Genomic DNA, 19,047 nt, shown 5'->3' on the forward strand with positions numbered 1-19,047 from the left:
CATACATCCTCAGCTTACGAAGATAATAGGATTAAGAGTAAAGTAAAGACAGGCATAAGAAATTATAAAAGTATTATTTGGGAGCAGATAAATGTCCATATTAATATGAAATCTTCACAATTTATGTTCCTCTGCCGCGGCTCCAGCCGGTCCCTCTGTTCAGGGTCCCTGAGTTTCCGCAACAGAGTTCTTTATTGTGGTTATAAAACCTTTATCAGATACATGATTTGCAGATATTTTCTCCCCTTCTCTAGGCTTCTTTTCACTTTGTTGATAGTGTTCTTTGATACACAAAATATTTTAATTTTGGTGAAGTCCAATTTATCTATTTTTGTTTTTTTGTTACTCATGCTTTTGGTGTCATATCTAAGACTCCATTGCCAAATGCACAGTTATGAAGATTTACCTGCCTCATGTTTTCTAAGAATTTTATGGTTTTAACTCTTTTATTTGGGTGATTGATCCATTTTGAATTAATTTTTCTATATGGTATAAAGTGGGAGTCCATATGTTGCATGTGAGTATCTAGTTGTCCAAGCAACATTTGTTGAAGAAACTGGAAAGACTTTAAAATGAATATGTCCTATGTTGATTTCTTCATTATTGTGATTGCTCTGGGAGCACTTTAAATAGCTATAAAGAAATGTCACAAACCTTTATTATTATTATTATTATTATTATTATTTTTTTTTATTTTTTTTTTTTTTAGGTCAACCTCTGGGAGCACAGAACAATGTTTCAATATTTTTTTTTTTGAGAAGAAGTCTCGCTCTGTCACCCAGGCTGGAGTGCAGTGGCACGATCTTGGCTCACTGCAACCTCTGCCTCCCAGGTTCAAGCGATTCTCCTGCCTCAGCCTCCCAAGTAGCTGGGGTTACAAGTGTATGGCACTGCACCCGGCTAATTTTTTGTATTTTTAGTAGAGACAGGGTTTCACCATGTTGGCCAGGCTGGTCTTGAACTCCTGACTTCAGGTAATTCACCCGCCTTGGCCTCCCAAAGTGCTAGGATTACAGGTGTGAGCTACCACGCCCATCTAGAACAAACTTCTTATGTTTTCAGTATTTTTTACAAAATTGAAGAAATCGGCTTTTTGATAACTTTTATTAGATAACATTTGTCTTCATCTAGGTTGACAAGTGCACTAAAATATCAGACTCCACCACTATACAATTCACCCACGTAACCAAAAACCACTTCTACCCCAAAAGCTACTGAAATGTTTAAAAATTAAAACATTTGGCTTCATCTAAATTAAATTAATGGAAAAAAGCCAAATCAGCTTTTTTTTAGTCTGTATTTTTAAAAATTAGCCTTACTGAAGATACTAAACTGAAAAAAAAAATTTATGCATCTTAAAACAGATTAATCAAACTTTATTGACTCTAAAAACATTCTTACATTGGTAACTTTTATTTTTCAGGGTGAAGATTATATAAAGATGAGTCAGTGATTGAAGCCAATATTCTGATTCCCATGGAAGATGGATGGGCAAGAGTGTACTTCTTGGCTCCATTTACTACCTACTGCTCAGTAGTCATCTCTGTAAATCTGCAATTTCTACCAAAATGTGTGATCGTAGATCTCAAAGGATCTTGCTTTAACTTTCAACACTTAGAAAATCTACAAACATTCAGACCTGTCTGGGTTGGTATTGCCACCCATGACATTTAACATGTTGTGATGCTTGAAAACACAGGAGTAGAGAAAATCGATGAAGATTGTATTTTTGCACCTTAACTCCACATTGCTTTATTGGTTAATTTATATTCTTTCCATGTAATTCATGTAATTGTATGTCTGTGTGTGTTTTATGTGTCACCACCTTTCATGTTTTTGATTGCCCTACAAAGAGAAACCAAATGAGCTGATTACTGACTATAAGTTCTCAGCCTTTATGGACCTAATCTTATTTTTATTTACTTGAGTAATGTTTATTCTCTGCATGAACCATGATTTCTCCTGTGAGCCATTCCAGCATAAGCTGTGAATATGTATTAACAAATATATACATTTCTATTTTTATAATCCATAAGGATATGCCTGTTTTAAATAACATACATATTAACAATATCTATCAGGAAAACCCTCAAGACAGCTTCTAGTTAAAACCTTTGTTGCTGTCCTCTCAAACTATATTTATAAAAATTTGCTAGGGCCAAATCCATACTTGCAGAATAATTCATCAAATTTTATTTTTAAGTGAAAAGTAACCTTTCAGGCATTTCAGCAGCATACATTGACAATCTAGGGTATATATGTATGTATGTTTCTTATTGTATGTCTATATATGTATGTGGGGAGGACAGGAGTGAATGTTCACACACTTTTCTTGCGTACTCAACTAAATTGGAGAATGTTTCTGAAGAAAATTGGATGAAATTAGCTGCTGAGATTGAGTTTCTGCCTTAAAATCTGAAACAAAAAAAGGGACAAATTGCTGGTAGATCTACTGACTGTAGCCATCACCAGAACACTTAGTTTCTTCCCAGACATGAATTTCCTGACAGGCTCTGAGCCAGAAACACACTGTGGGCGTGCATCTGGTTCAGCCCTGGATATGCCTCCACTGTGGAGGGAAGCATTGGAACTGGAGTTGTGCACAGCACCGCAGCTAGTGGGCCTGGCTGGGGGTGCAGAAGGGCAGGGTAGTTCTTTCCATTTCCCCTTGCAGCTACACTTACTTTCTCCCTGACTACCAAATGGAGTGACGGTTGAAGAATCAAGCTCATAATATGATACACCCAGACAGACCCAGAAATCTTTTGATTTCCCCAGCGAGATACTTACCACTCTCTCTTCTCTTTCCCATGGTTAAAACAGGAGTTGTGTTCTCTGTCGCTGCTAAATTATTCTTCACTTGAGTGAAGCAAATATTTAGCTTCCAAATAAAGTATATTTTGTTCTGAACTGGCAGTTTAAGAGGAGATACCGTAGTCTAGATTGTCTTTGAGGTAGAATATATGATGGACCACATAGTTTAAGATTACAAGGTACTTTCCCTCTTCTCTCAGGCCATGCATTTGAATAAAGTGCCTCCCTTAGCCTGAGCTCCTAAAGACCTCTTGTACTTGGTTGCAAACTCAGATCTCTAGTCTAGTCTAGTCTAGTCTAGTCTAGTCATGTGTGACTGTGTACTGAGATACCACTAGCCCAGTTTGCTGGGTCTCTATGTTTTGGAAGTTGGGGGTTTAATAATATTTAATGTCTTTTTAGGATCATAAACATAAATAGGTTTGTTGATATTCAGGCCTTCAGAATTTAAGGGTTTTAAATATAGCATTCAGATTGTAATTGGTATGTTTTTGCCATCTGGTCCACTCAATTGTATATTTTTATTTTGCAAAACAACCCAAAACTTACTTTATGTTGCTTTGTTCAGTACCTTTTGAATTCCCCCAGAAGAGTTGTTTTCAAAACAAACATTCCAGAATGAATGTCGCTCTTCAATGGAACGTCTTTATTGTGCTTGAAGTATTTCTTCTCTGGTTGTAATTCTAAATTACAGAGTCATTTGAGCTTTCTCCCCTCCCGCTAGTATCTTTACAGGAGCAGGGAAGAGCAGTAGAGGATGTATAATTTTGGGCGAAGTTAAATTACAATTTATTTGAGGTTATTCCTAAACCTATTTATTTGGTGTTTTGGAGGAGATCACACACTAAGAGAACGTTGATTGCCTCGGCTATTGTGCTGGCTGGACACTTTGGTCACTTTTGAAGCATGTTAATAAATGTCACTGATTAAAACAGCTGGAGCATTTCCTTCCCTTTCCAGTGAAGGAGCAGCATAGTGAAATCCTGGCACCCCTCACCTTTTTGTGATGACAAGATGGCTGACAGTCACGGAGTCCAGGAGAAGGTGCTGCTCTCCTTGCTTTCTGAGTAAACAGAGTAATGTTTTTTTTCTTATTTTCCCAAAGAAAGAAAAGGGGGAAAATATATTTGTATGTTTAGACCAGCCAAATTCTGTCATTATTTTAGTATCAACCTGCTGTATATTAGAGCAACTGAATATAATATGGAATAAGTTTGACCAGGTCAAGTTTTAGGATATAGTTGAATTTCTTTAAAAAGTTTTCTATTTTATCTAAAATCTTTCCATTATATCTAAATTAGAATGATCATCCTGCGCAAATTCAGATTACTGTTTGCTGGCTAATTGACAGTATTTCTCAGCATCACTATGTAGCATTCTGTTTTAGCATCTTTGAATTATGATCATTTGATTTGGCTAATTACAAAAAGTACAGGTTTAAACTGGACTTAGCTTGAGTTAAAGGCAAAGAAAATCTAAAAACATAAATGTTATATTTCACAAGAAATCAGTTGCATATTATCCATTACATATTTAGTTTTAAAAGGAGGAGTCACCTTGAATTATTTTCTGAGTCACCTTGAGTTATTTGATCTCTCAGCCTGCTTTCTCATCTGTAAAAAAGGGGGGAGGATAACTTTCACAGGGTAATTGGTAGGCTAAATAGGAGTTACAGAAAACTGTTAAATAGGGAAGAACTACATTAAATTTAAATATTCACATTATGCCTGTGTTTGACTATTGTTAGCATTTAAGTCACTAAAGATCAATATATTTAATGAGTTGGACTCTAAATATGTGGTACTGTAGGTATCACATTTCCCAAGTCTTTTTAGCTATATCATGTCTATCTTCGGAATGGTATAGTCGGGGGCCCTTTTTATCAATAATAGCCTTCTATTAATTAGACTAATTTTAAGAACAACTAATACTTCAACTGGCAATATCATCCTATAATTATCCACATAAAGTAGTCTTTCAGGCTGCTAGGTAACTTGGCTGTCTTCTATTCCATCCGTTTTATTTAACTACACGATGGTCATGAATCAGTGGCAGGACTGCCTTGTAAAGTTGTGCTGATTTTGCACTGCACAAAAGTACATAGTTAAGGAGGCGAATGGACTTTAAAATCTAGTTCACATTCCCCTCAACAAGCTACGTGTGGAGGAAGGGGCTCTTGCCTTCTCACCAAGGTGTACATGTGGCACAGGTCTCCCCAGAAGAGGTGTCTTTTTCTAATTTGCCCAAAGGGGATACCTGTCTTAATACATCCACCAGGGGGTGCCTTTTTAAAAATGTGCAAAGCCGTGGTGTGTTGCAGCTGGCTTTTGCTGGCTCCCCAGAGGAGAACCAATTGTGTGCATCTCTTCCCAACTTGATGTTCAGTGACATCAGGTTGGTAGCTTTTAATGGACAATGGTAGGAGTATTTGTATCATAGAAGTTAGTAAATGCTGCAAATTGTGGATCCCCCACCCCCTCAGTCAGTTTCTAACACACCACTGAAAAAGGCCCGATGTAGGCTAGCATTGCATTTCCCAGAGCAGGCACACTGGAGTCCTAAAATGTGTATGATTAAAGGACACATAGACCTGGAAGAACTCTTTTTATAAAGCTGTAGGCAGCTTGGAGTTGTCCGTATCAAATTCAGATTGGTTCACAGACATATGGTAGTTCTGACTCAGAAACTGTTACGGGTCACAGAAAAATACACAGTCCAACTCTAGAAATGACTAGGAAGTGAATCAGCTGAATTACTATTTTTGAGATGGAGTCTTGCTCTGTCACCCAGGCGGGAGTGCAGTGGTGCCATCTCAGCTCACTGCAGCCTCCACCTCCCGGGTTCAAGTGATGCTCCTGCCTCAGCCTCCTGGGTATCTGGGATTACAGGCATGCGCCCCCACGCCCAGTTAATTTTTTGTATTTTTAGTAGGGATGGAGTTTCACCATTGCTGGACAGGCTGGTCTTGAACTCCTCACATCAGGTAATCTGCCTGCCTTGGCCTCCCAAAGTGCTGGGATTACAGGAGTGAGCTACCACGCCCAGCCGAATCAGCTGAATTCTTAAGCCTTAGCATAAAAGCAGGCACAACTAATACACCTACTGTGTTGTGATACAGTTCACCAGACACTCCTGGATTGAGGAGGGCTGGAGCTGGACAGTGAACTCTGGCTTACAGGCCATTTTGACTTTGCAGTAAGATAAATATTTGGGCAGGAAAATTTTCCCATGATCCAACAGATCCCAATCCAATCTTACTATGCCTCGGCAACCCTTTCCTGAGAAGGACAGCAGTGCCTGGCAAGCACATTATAAACCTGAGTCCAGGTTTATCCCCTTGTGTAATCAAGTCCATGGGCTGGATGTGACAACACATGTGCCTAAGCTAGGTAGGCTTGAATAGTACAGAATGAAATAGGCCAAAAGGCTGTCCCAAGCCCACACTGAGTTTCAGATCTTACCTCTTAAATGGAACAGAGACCATGCTTGTCAGCACCACAAGAAAAGTTTGTACAAGACTTGTGGCAATAAATAGATACCTCTAAACCTGCTCATTCTCAGGCCAGGACAGGCCTCAGCTGCCACAAAGGAAGAGAGAGAATGTTGAAAAAGTAAGGAAGAAAGAAAACCAAAAGATGGCCAAGCCTTCTTTCAGAAGGAGGAAGATAGTTCATATGGGGGCTATATTAGTCCATTCTCTCATTGCTGTAAAGAAATAACTGGCAGAGCTTGCAGTGAGCCAAGATCACACCACTGCACTCCAGCCTGGGCAACAGAGCAAGACTCTGTCTCAAAAAAAAAAAAAAAAAAAAAAAAAAAAAACAAAAACTGAGACTGGGTAGTTTATAAAGAAAAGAGGTTTGATTGGCTCACATGTGGTTCTGCAGGCTGTACAGGAAGCATGACTGGGGAGGCCTCAGGAAACTTACAGTCATGATGGAAGACAAAGTGAGAGCAGGCATCTTGCATGGCAGCATTGGGACCAGGGATCGGGGGTACCACACGCTTTTAAATAACCGGATCTTGTGAGCACTCACTATACAGCACCAAAGGGGGATGGTGCTAAACCATTCATGGGAACTCCACCCTCATGATCCAGTCACCTCCCACCAGTCCCCACCTCCCAACACTGGGGATTACATTTTGATATGAGATTTGGTGGGGACCAGATCCAAGCCATATCATTCTGCCCCTGGCCCCTCCAAATCTCATGTCCTTCTCACATTGCAAAGTATAATCATCCCCTTCTCAGTAGCCCCCCGAAGTCTCAACTAATTCCAATATTAGCTCAAAAGTCCACAGTCCAAAGTCTTATCTGAGACAACACAAGTCCCTTCCACCTATGAGCCTGTACAGTCAAAAACAAGTTAGTTACTTCCAAGATACAAAAGAGGTACAAGTATTGGGTAAATACTCCCACTCCAAAAGGGAGAAATCAACCAAAAGAAAGGGGCTACAGGCCCTATGCAAGTCTGAAACCCAGCTGGGCAGTCATTAACTCTTAAAGCTCCAAAATCTCCTTTGACTTCATGTCTCACATCCAGGGCACACTGGTGCAAGGGGTGGGCTCCCAAAGCCTTGGGCAGCTCTGCCCCTGCGGTTCAGCCTCCATGGATGCCCTCATGGGCTGGTGTTAAGTGCTAGTGGCTTTTCTAGGTGCATGGTGCAAGCTGTTGGTGGCTCTACCATTCCAGGGTATGGAGGATGGTGGCTCTCTTCTCACAGCTCCACCAGGCAGTGCCCCAGTGGGGACTCTCTGTGGGGGCTCCAACCCCACACTTTCCCTCCTCAGTACCCTACATGAGGGCTCTGCCCCTACAGCAGGCTTCTGCCTGCACATCCAGGCTTTTCCATACATCTTCTGAAATCTAGGCAGAGGCTCCCAAGTCTCAACTCTTGCACCCTGTGCACCTGCAGGCTTAACACCATGTGGAAGCTGCCAAGGCTTATGGCTTGCACCCTCTGAAGCACCAGCTTGAGCTGTATCCAGACACCTTTGAGCCATAGCTGGAGGTGGAGTGGTTGGGATGCAGGGAGCAGAGTCCTGAGGCTATTCAGGGCAACAGGGCCCTGGACCTGGCCCATGGAACCATTCAATCCTCCTAGGCCTCTGGGCCTGTGATGGGAGAGGCTGTCTCTTAGATCTCTGAAATGTCTTGAGGGCTTAACCTCATTGTCTTGACTATCAGCAATTGGTTGCTTTTTACTAAGTAAATTTCTGCAGTGGGCTTGAATTCCTGCCCTGAAAATGGGCTTTGTTTTTATACCACATGGCCAGGCTACAAATTTCCCAAACTTTTATGCTTTGCTTCCCTTTTAAATATAAGTTCCAGTTTTATGTCATTTCTTTGCTCATGCACATGAGCATATGCTGTTAGAAGCAGCCAGGCTAAATCTTGAATGCTTTGCTGCTTAGAAACTTCTTCCGCCAGATACCCTAAATCATCATTCTCAAGTTCAAAGTTCCACATATACCTAAGGCAGGAGCACAATGCCTCCGAATTCATTGCTAAAGCATAGGAAAAGTGATCTTTGCTCCAGTTCTCAGTTAAGTTCCTCATCTCTGTCTGAGATGTCATCAGCCTGGCCATCTCTGTTCCATATCACTATCAGCATTTTGGTCACAACCATTTAACAAGTCTCTAGGAAGTTCCAAACCTTCTCATCTTTCTGTCTTCTTCTGAGCCCTCCACACTCTTCCAACATCTGCCTGTTACCCAGTTTCAAAGCTGCTTCCACATTTTCAGGTATCTTTATAGAAATACCCCACTTCTGGTACCAATTTTCTGTATTAGTCTGTTCTCACATTCCTATAAATAAATACCTGAGACTGGATAATATATAAAGAAAAGAGGTTCAATTGGCTCATGGTTCCATAGGCTGTATGGAAAGCATGGCAGCATCTGCTTTTGGGGAAGCCTCAGGAAAAAGCAGGAGCAGGTGTCTTACATGGCAGAAGCAGGACCAAAGGGGTGGGGAAGATGTTACACACTTTTTAAATCAACCAGATCTTGTGAGAACTCACACTATACAGTACCAAAGGGGGGATGGTGCAACTCTGCCCTCATGATCCAGTCACCTCCCACCAGACATCACCTCCAACACTGGGGATTACAATTTGACATGAGATTTGGTGGGGACACAGATCCAAATCATATCAGGAGCCAAAGCAAAGATGAAAGCTGGCAATGCCTGTTTTCTTGTTGGAGTAACCTCACCTTTTTGCCACTCCAGACAAAAAAAGAAAAACCCATGTGCCCATGAGCCTTTTGAACCAGGCAGAGTAAGAAATCTACCTAGCAATAACCAATAAAATGTCTTTAAAGCTGACTGTAGTGCAACAGTCCTCTTCCTGAAATAGTGGGGAGAAGGGAGACTTCAGCACAAATCAGAAGAATACAGACTAGTGTAAGAAACAAACCATAATAAATCTGGGCTCAGGAGATGATAACTCATTTTAGATGATACAGGGGTAACCAGCTAGATATATTTGAAGTAGGAAATTGGGGAAGATGGTTCCAAATACATGGGACTCATCACAGGGTTCCTTTATTTTTATTTATTACTATTTTCGAGGCAAGGTCTTGCTCTGTCACTCAGGCTGGAGTGCAGTGGCATGATCTCGGCTCACTGCAACCTCTGCCTCCTGGGCTCAGGTGATTCTCCAACCTCTGCCTCCCAAGTAGCTGGGACTACAGGTGTGTGCCACCACACCTGGCTACTTTTTTCTTTTTAATTTCTATTATGGATATGCTGGGAATAACTGGCTGATTTTTTAAAAAAAATTTTTGTAGAGATATTTTGTTATGTTGCCCAGGCTGGTCTTGAACTCCTGGCCTCAAGCAATCCTCCTGCCTCGGCCTCCCAAAGTGCTGGGATCACAGGTGTGAGCTACCATTCCCAGCTTCCTTTAAATGACCACGCTTAGTGAAATTAATGTTTTCAGATCATTAGGCATACCATTATGTGACTGGAGGTGACACAAAACATCAAGCTAAAATGTGCTTATCCATTTGTTATTAGGTTAGATGAAAACAGAATGGCTCTACAAGTCTGATATGTGCCAATATCATTTTAAGTAAACATGACTTTTTAGGAGCTTTTTTTTTTTTTAGTAAAAAATGTAACCAGTTGTGTACTGATAGATGTTTAACACCTGACGCTTGGTTGAGGGGAGGCCTAATTTGTAGTATTTGCCAATTTCTGGGGTGGAAATATTCCCACCATAGTTGGTTTCAAGCTACTGTGTTCTTAACCAGCTCCCAAAGTTTTTGAAAATTTAGGATTGGCTCTTGCAAGTGTGTATGAGCCAATTGTACATCATGGGATAACATATATGGCATAAAGATGGGATATCAGTTAGGAATCTCTTGGCTGCAAGTAAAGAATACACAACTAAAATTGACAAATAATAAAGACCTATCTCACATAATAAGTCTGAGGACTACAGTGGCTCAACAATGTCATTAAACAGTTTACAAATGTCATGGCAAAGTCAGGAAGTTACCATATATGATCTAAAAAGGGGAGGCATGAATGATCCACCCCTTATTTAGCATATAATCAAGAAATAACCACAAAAATGGGCAACCAGCAGCCCTTGGGCTGCTCTGTCTATGGAGTAGCCATTCTTTTATTCTTTTTTTTTCTTATTTTGAGGAAGAGTCTCGCTCTGTTGCCCAGGCTGGAGTGCAGTGGCGCAATCTCAGCTCACTGCAACCTCTGCCTCCTGGGTTCAAGTGATTCTCATGCCTCAGCCTCCCAAGTAGCTGGGATTACAGGTGCCCGCCACCATGCCTAGCTAATTTTTGTATTTTTAGTAGAGATGGGGTTTCACCATGTTGGCCAGGCTGGTCTTAAACTCTTGACCTCAAGGAATCCATCCGCCTCGGCCTCCCAAAGTGCTGGGATTACAAGTGTGAGCCACCGTGCCCAGTTCATTCTTTTATTCTTTACCTTCCTAATAAACTTGCTTTTACTTAAAAAAAAAAATGACATTAAAAACCCAGAATCTTTCCTTCCTTCTGCTCCACCATCCTCTGCAGATTGGCTGTCACCCTCAGCTTACCCACTCATGGTTGTAAGACAACTGCTCCAGGCATCACTCTCACAACCATGATCTAAGGAGGAAAAGGAGTTTTTTCTTGCTACTGTTAATGGTGGAGGGTCTCCAGGTTCTTGACGTTTTGAACAAAGAATTGGACAAAACGCACAAACAAAGCAAGGAAAGAATGAAGGGTTTTACTGAAAATGAAAGTACACTTCACAGTGTGGGAGCGGGCCTGTGCACAGGGGCTCAAAGACTCTGTTAACAGAGTTTTTGTGAGCTTAAATACCCTCTACTTGGGGTACGACCTATGTAAATGAAGAGGATGAAGTAAAGTTACAAAGTCATTTACTCAGTGTATGCCCTATGGAGAGGATATTTCCTGTCATAGCTGAAATGTGAATCAGCCTTATGTTCCCTGCCTCCAGACCCTATTTTTCTGCCTCACTACTTCATCTTATCAGGGAGAAAAACCTTTCCCAGATGCCCCCTCAACAGACTTATCTTTACATCTCATTGGCCAGAAGTTTGGGCTAGATGAACACCAATAAGCCATTCACTGATAAGAGGGAATGGAATTGCCATGATTGGCTTAAACACAGTTAATCCCTTAAAACCAACTAACCTTGACTTCATTGCTACTTCACACCTGAACAAAATCAGTGCTGTTGGCAAGGAAGGGAGTGGCTGTTAGGAAGTACAACCAACAATGTCTACCACAACAAATGAATGCAGTTAACTGTGGAATAAACCAGAGATCATCAGTAAACAAATGACTGAGCTTTGGTAGAACTTCCTAAATTCCAATCAAGGTGACTTTGGTAGACTCTCAAGAAAGCATACCTAAATGTGATATAATTTATTAAGTACAAACCAATTCTGCCCTCTTATGAGAATATATGACTAGATGGAGGATGATCAGAACAAAGAAAATGGAAATCAAAAGAGTCAGAAGGTGGTAGAGTTTATTCAGCACTCTTCAGAAAGAGACTATGAATATGGCATACAAAAGTCTAGTTGTCAAAGAGGTACATGTAAATATTGAGCTGAGATGGTTCGTTAGGTCCTTTCATGGCCTGAATGAAATAAATATATTTCAAAAATACTTCAGTACTATAGAGGCTGATTCTTTTTTTTTTTTTTTTTTTTTTTTCTTTTTGAGACAGGGTCTGGTCTGTTGCCTAGGCTGGAGTGGAAAGGCATGATCTCAGCTCACTGCAACCTTTGCCTCCTAGGCTCAAGTGATCCTCCCACCCCAGCCTCCCAAGTAGCTGGGACTACAGGCATGCTCCACCATACCCAGTTAATTTTTTTGTAGAGATGGGGTCTTGCCATGTTGCCCAGGCTGGTCTCAAACTCCTGGGCTCAAGTGATCTGCCTGCTTTGGCCTCCCAAAGTGCTGGGATTACAGGCGTGATCCACAGTGAGCCACTGTGCCTGGCCAGTTCCCATTTGATTTATTTATTTATTTATTTATTTATTTATTTATTTATTCATTCATTTATTGAGATGGAGTCTCGCTCTGTCACCCAGACTGGAGTGCAGTGATGCTATCTGGGCTCACTGCAACCTCTACCTCCCAGGTTCAAGTGATTCTCCTGCCTCAGCCTCTCGAGTAGCTGGGATTACAGGTGTGCACCACCACACGGCTAATTTTTTGTATTTTTAGTAAAGACAGGGTTTCACCATATTGGCCAGGCTGATCTCGAACTCCTGACCTCAGGTGATCTGCCTGCCTCGGCCTCCCAAAGTGCTGGGATTACAAACGTGAGCCACGACACCCGGCCCCCATTTTAAATTAAATACTTCTTTCCTTTGACAAAATTAATTCTAGATGAGCAAAGATGTAAACATTCTACAAAACCAAAACCAGTCAGGCATGGTGGCTCACGCCTGTTATCCCAGCACGTTGGGAGGCCGATGTGGGCGGATCACCTGAGGTCAGGAGTTTGAGACCAGCCTGGCCAACATGGTGAAACCCCATCTCTACTAAAAAAATACAAAACTTAGCCAGGTGTGGTGGCACATGCCTGTAATCCCAGCTAGTCTACTCAGGAGGCTGAGGCAGGAAAATCACTGGAACCTGGGAGGCAGGGGCTGCAGTAAGCTGAGATCACACCACTGCACCCCAGCCTGGGTGACCAAGCGAGACTCCATCTCAAAAAACAAACAAACAAACAACAACAACAACAACAACAACAACAAACTCAATAACCTTTACCTCTAGAGAGAGGTACTGGGAGACAAGCCTAGGGTAAGAGACAGATTTAGTTTTCACCACATGTCATTTTGTTGGGGCAGACAGCCTCTAAAATGGCCCCCATTTCCCCGCCTCTGATATTCACACCCTTGCTTGGCCCCTCCCCTTGAGTATGGGCAAGAGCTATAACTCACTTCTGACCAACAGAACACAGGAAAGGTGATGGAATGTCACTTCCATGCTTAGGTTACATAAGATAGCAACTTCTGTCTTGATAGCAGCCCCTCTCGTTTGATGCTTTATGAAGCAAGCTGCCATACTGGAGAGGCCCATGTGCAAGGAGTTGAGGGCCAACAACCAGCAAGGGACTGAGGCCCTTGATGAATTGAATTCTGATAACAACTACATGAGCTTGAAAGCAGATCCTATCTCAGTTGAGCCTTCAGATGAGACCCCATCCTGGTTGACACCTTGATTGCAGCCTTGTGAATCAGAAGATTCACTGTTAAGCAGTTAAACTGTGTCCAGATTTCTGACCCACTGAAACTATGAGATCATATATGTGTGTGGTTTTAAGCTGCCAAAAAAAAAAAAAAGCCCCAAAACAAAACAAAACAAGACAAATTAGCTGGACATGGTGGTGTGCAACTGTAGTCCCAGCTATTACATTTGGAGGGCAGAGGCAGGAGGATCATTTGAACATGGGAGGTTGAGGCTGCAGGGAGCTGAGATTGTGTCACTGTACTCCAGCCAGTCTGGGTGACAAAGTGAGACCCTGTCTCCAAAAAATAAACAAACAAAGGCTGCAGCATCAAATCTTGCCTGCTGGCCTGCCCCACAGATTTCAACCTTGCCAGCAGCACCCATAATTGCATGAACCAGTTCCTAAGAGTAACTCTCCACCCAACCATCATCTATGCATATTTCCTGTTGGTTCCGTTTCTCTGGAGAACCCTAATATGGGTAAGTTCTGTTATTTCCCCCATTTTAATCATGGAGAAGGCGGGGTCTGAGAACAATTTGCTTAAATAGCTGGTAAGCAGAACCTGGACATGGACCCAAAAAGTTTGGCTCCAGAGCCCTTGAAAATAACCATTATACTATTCTGTAACTAAGGACAACTGTGCTGGCTGCCTATCTCACTGGAGTTTTGTACCTTTTTTTTTTTTCTGATTTGTAAAGGGTCATTCAAGTGCAGTGCATCTGCTTAGAGAACCAGATAGCATGGAAGTGAAATGACCCTTGACTGATGAGCAGAGACCCATCCGTTCTTCTCAGCTGTTGTGCTGCCATCCTCCCCACCATGCAACTCTTCACAGCTACTATTTTGTTGTCCAGCGGTCTATGCTATGGTCTTATTGTCCTTCCTGAGCAAGCATAGTCAGGGTCCTGCTGGCCAAATGTACAGTAGTCTTTTAAAGGAGACTGTTCTTTGGAAGATACTGCAGGGAAACAGAATAGAGAGGATTCATTCAGAATTCCCCTCAAGGAGTTTGAATCTATATCTAGGGGTTGTGGGTAAATAACTGGAACTGCCTTCCTGACTGCCTGCTGGGAACCAGCCTATGTTCCCAGACCTCCAGACCTGCATCATAATCCTCAAACCAGATACATGCGAACTCCTCACTGCAGAGCCCAGCATTTGTTGGAGGTCTTTCTTCTGTGGAACTAAACTCACACATTCTTCAAATTATTGGTGAATCCAAATTGCATAACCCTACACATAGAACTTAATTAGGGTTCACAGAGAGTCTGTAAAGCAATTCTTTTAAAGAAGCTTCTTCTGGCCAGGCCAGTGGCTCACACCTGTAATCTCAGCACTTTGGGAGGCCAAAGCAGGAGGATCATTGAGGCCAGGAGTTCAAGACTACCCTGGGCGGCAAAGCAAGATTCCATCTCTACTAAAAAATAAAATATATATATATATTTATAAAAGAGGCTTCTTCTGAGAAAGAAAATATAGAGCTCTTGAAGTGTTCAATTGTCCAAAAAAGTTCAGAATGGCCCGGATTGTAGGGGCTTACTTTAAAATACATTTAACTGCCTGCTTACCAGCAGCATATGAACATTCACTTGTAGGGAAACTCTAGATACACTGCGATGAAAAAGTCCATGAATTCTCTGAGTCAATGATGAAAAGAGCGGAAAAGGAAAAGACAGGCCCTGGCAAGTGTGGGTGGCACTAATGCCAGCTTGGTGGTCTGATGGAGTTTTTTGAAAATGATCACATTTGTAGAATGGGTTTAAAACAATATTTTGACTAGTGATTTCATGTCTGAAAAGGGTATTATTTTGGAATTTCCTCCAGTGTTTAAATGCTTTGTGTTTTGAACACACTGATTGATTACTTAATCTACAGCTGCTTCTGGGTGCTCAGCAATTTTCCCTGTCTTGTTGCTATGAGACGAGGACTTCCCTGAATTCGCCAGTGTGACAGGCATCGTGAAGAGGTGGTGGGCTCTGCCCACAAGTCACAGTGCCATCAAGCGGTCATTCTGGAAAACTGTTAGAGGAAGTCGGTTTGTTTCCACTGTTCTCTAATTATGGCACTCTAAGGTCATCATTTTCACAGATGAATTAGCAGGTTAAATGAACAGTGAAGGCTTATGTATTCCTTTCATATTCTCCTGCACACAGTTTGGATTTTTAAAAATCGAATACATCCAGCCCGGCCAACATGGTGAAACCCCGTCTCTACTAAAAATACAAAAAAATTAGCAGGGCGTGTTGGCACGGGGCCTGTAATCCCAGCTACTCAGGAGGCTGAGGCAGGAGAATCACTTGAACCTGGGAGGCGAAGGTTGCAGTGAGCCAAGATGAGTGCAGTGGCAGATCTCAGCTGTAACCTCCGCCTCCTGGGTAGCTGGGACTACAGGCACACGCACCACACCCGGCTAATTGTAGAGATGAGGGGTCTCACTATGTTGCCCAGACTGGTCTCAAGCTCCTGGGCTCAAGCGATCTGCCTGCCTGGCCTCCCAGAGTGCTGAGGAATAAATAAAACTAATGTATTAAAAAATAAATGAATCAGGCCGGGCGCTGTGGCTCACGCCTGTAATCCCAGTACTTTGGGAGGCCAAGGTGGGTGGATCACGAGGTCAGGAATTCAAGACCAGCCTGGCCAGTATGGTGAAGCCCCGTCTCTATTAAAAATACAAAAAATAGCTGGGTGTGGTGACGCATGCCTGTAGTCCCAGCTGCTTGGGAGGCTGAGGCAGGAGGATTGCTTGAACCCAGGAGGCGGTGGTTGCAGTGAGCTGAGATTGCACCACTGCACTCCAGCCTGGGCGACAGAGTGAGACTCCATCTTGAATAATAATAAATAAATAAATATATAAATAAAGCCACAGCAAGCCAAATGGTAAAGTTGAAAGAAAGTTGAGGCCAGGCGCGGTGGCTCACGCCTGTAATCCCAGCACTTTGGGAGGCCGAGGCGGGTGGATCACGAGGTCAGGAGATCGAGACCATCCTGGCTAACACGGTGAAACCCCGTCTCTACTAAAATAAAAAAAAAAAAATACAAAAAATTAGCCGGGCATGATGGTGGGCGCCTGTAGTCCCAGCTACTCAGGAGGCTGAGGCAGGAGAATGGCGTGAATCCGGGAGGCGGAGCTTGCAGTGAGCCGAGATCGCGCCACTGCACTCCAGCCCGGGGGACAGAGGGAGACTCCGTCTCAAAAAAAAAAAAAAAAAAAAAAGAAAGAAAGAAAGAAAGAAAGAAAGTTTAACCGGTGGGTAGGGGACATTGCAGGTTAGCCCTAACTTCACATCTCTTGGTCTCAATTTCCGCTTCTAACTAATGAAGGGCTTGGCCTGGGTCTCCCAACATCCCTTCTGCTCTGAAAGTGTCTAATTCCTTGCTTCTTTTACATATGGTTTTTAGAGGAGCATAACCTGGAAGCGGATCCTGGTCAGGTCTCCCCAGCTGAGCCTGGTTATGTGACTTCAGAGTGAGCTTGTGCAAATGGCAGCAAAGATGGAAGGGCGGAAGAGGGTCTGTGCCCACAGGGGGAGGTGAAATTGCCAGCACTCTCTGGCAAACGACTCCACTCCCCACATGCTTGGTGGAGATGGGCCTCCACCAAGGACAAAATTGTCATTCCTGAGGGAGAAGTCTGGCCCGGGGTATCAGCTCCGGGCATGGGGGCTAAGCCTGTGATGAAAGGCTCACAGGCAAGCGCATCTGTGCAGGATGTGCTTATTGACTCAGCAGCAGGCTGGACATTAACGTATTCGATGAAGATGAGAAGAAAGGGAGAATTCAGATTCCACTCAAAGGATGCATCCCTGTCCCTTCCCTCCTCACCGACGGTTTACGAGAACCTGGAGCCAGGTAGGAGAACTGCCTCTACTGTGGAGCCTGCTTCCAACTGTTTCCTTTCTTGTACTCCTGTTTGAAGGGCCACATGATTCTGGGTGTGTGGTGCACCTCATTGTCTCCCTGTGGCTTAATTCTGGTTCTTGTGGAGTAAATGTGAGATGTAGTGAATGCTGTTCTTGTGTTGAGGGACTTAAGCAAATTTTCATCCATCTGTGCATTATGTAAAGCCTCTTCCAAATTCAGGATAAGAGAAACACCAGGAATGCTGAATATTAAGCTAAACAAAAATACAGTGAATTACCAACACCCTGAGAGAACATAGCTGAATTAATACAGGTCACACGACTTTGGGGCTCTCTTGACTGTGACTTAATACTCTTAATTTGTCATTATTTGGGGGATTAAAAAATACCTTCTGGCCGGGATGGTGGCTCGTGTTGTAATCCCAGCACTTTGGGATGCTGAGGCGGGTGGATCACTTGAAGCCAGGAGTTTGAGACCAGCCTGGCCAACATGGGAAAACACTGTCTCTACTAAAAATACAAAAATTAGTTGGGTGTGATGGCTGTAGGCCCAGCTGCTTGGGAGGCTAAGGCATGAGAATTGCTTGAACCTGGGAGATGGAGGTTGCAGTGAGCTGAGATCGTGCCACTGCACCGCAGCCTGGGTGATAGAGCGAGACTCTGTCTCAAAAAGAAAAAAAAAACAAACTGTTTACACAAGAGCTTGTATCACATTGTCTCACTGAATATCCACCTACTGTAGTAAACTCCCAGAACGTTAGACACAATAGAGCTTAGAAATCACCTAGTGTAATTCTTTTCAGTTTAAACCGAGACCTATAAATATATAAAAACAAAATGGAAACAAATTAAACTTTTCACACTGTAACTCGAAAAAATAATATTTCACTTAAAAAGACAATAAAACTACGGCAGGGATCTCTTCTACATTTTAACAAGTCTGAACCATGAAATTCAAGGGCTAAGTGAGGTAAATATCTGGCACATTTTGCTGTTTTAGAGCCATTTGCTGATGGGATAAGAATGTGAGGAGGATGGGAAAAGGGAGAAAGAAAAATATGATATATTATTTCTCTCTTTGGAATCTGCAATTGAACAAAGCATCTCAACTTAAAAACATCAGCTCTGTAAATGTTTTGTAGATTAAATATTTTGTTATTCTTTGTTCCAAATATCAAAACGTAATCTTGTCTCATTCCCCTGTGTCTGGGAGGTAGGAAGGCACAGGTTTCCCTCCTTATTGCAAACATTCCGCAGCACAAGTCCAAGAACCTAGCTACAGCCAAGGAACAGGTGAAGGCCAGCTCATTACATTTCAACTAGACCCTTTTTAAGAATCACCAGTGAACCTTAAATTCAGCTGATTTTTTAAAATTGAAAATAAAAAAGAGGCCAGGTGCGGTGGTTCGTGCCTGTAATCCCAGCACTTTGGGAGGCCAAGGCAGGCGGATCTCCTAAGGTCAGGAGTTCGAGACCAGCCTGGCCAACATGGTGAAACCCCCGTCTCTATTAAAAATACAAAAATTAGCTTGGCATGGTGGCGGGCACCTGTAATCCCAGCTACTTGGGAGGCTGAGGCGGGAGAATCACTTGAACTCGGGAGGCAGAGGTTGCAGTGAGCCGAGATCACGCCATTGCACTC

The 19,047-nt window shown here is 42.7% G+C and overlaps 1 protein-coding gene across 1 annotated transcript in view, besides 2 other annotated features; it reads left to right on the forward strand.

Moving 5' to 3' along the window:
• Positions 1-4,538, forward strand: part of CREBL2 (cAMP responsive element binding protein like 2) — a 33,233-nt gene extending 28,695 nt beyond the window's left edge. The window contains exon 4 of the mRNA NM_001310.4: positions 1,424-4,538. Coding sequence (NP_001301.1) covers positions 1,424-1,428 — 5 coding nt within the window. The 3' untranslated portion in view covers positions 1,429-4,538. The remainder of the gene's footprint in view (positions 1-1,423) is intronic.
• Positions 2,742-3,941: an enhancer, noted in NCBI's record as "BRD4-independent group 4 enhancer chr12:12796246-12797445 (GRCh37/hg19 assembly coordinates)". NCBI's record gives its function as "activates an origin of replication core promoter dependent on BRD2, P300/CBP, MED14 and CDK7 cofactors, and independent of BRD4, by STARR-seq in HCT116 cells {active_cell/tissue: HCT116}" and the evidence as "EXISTENCE:reporter gene assay evidence [ECO:0000049][PMID:35650434]".
• Positions 4,966-5,025: a silencer, noted in NCBI's record as "silent region_4260". NCBI's record gives its function as "represses an Ori minimal core promoter by ATAC-STARR-seq in GM12878 lymphoblastoid cells {active_cell/tissue: GM12878}" and the evidence as "EXISTENCE:reporter gene assay evidence [ECO:0000049][PMID:35858748]".

This window comes from Homo sapiens, chromosome 12, assembly GCF_000001405.40.
Source record: "Homo sapiens chromosome 12, GRCh38.p14 Primary Assembly".
NCBI classification, from domain to species: Eukaryota; Metazoa; Chordata; class Mammalia; order Primates; family Hominidae; genus Homo; species Homo sapiens.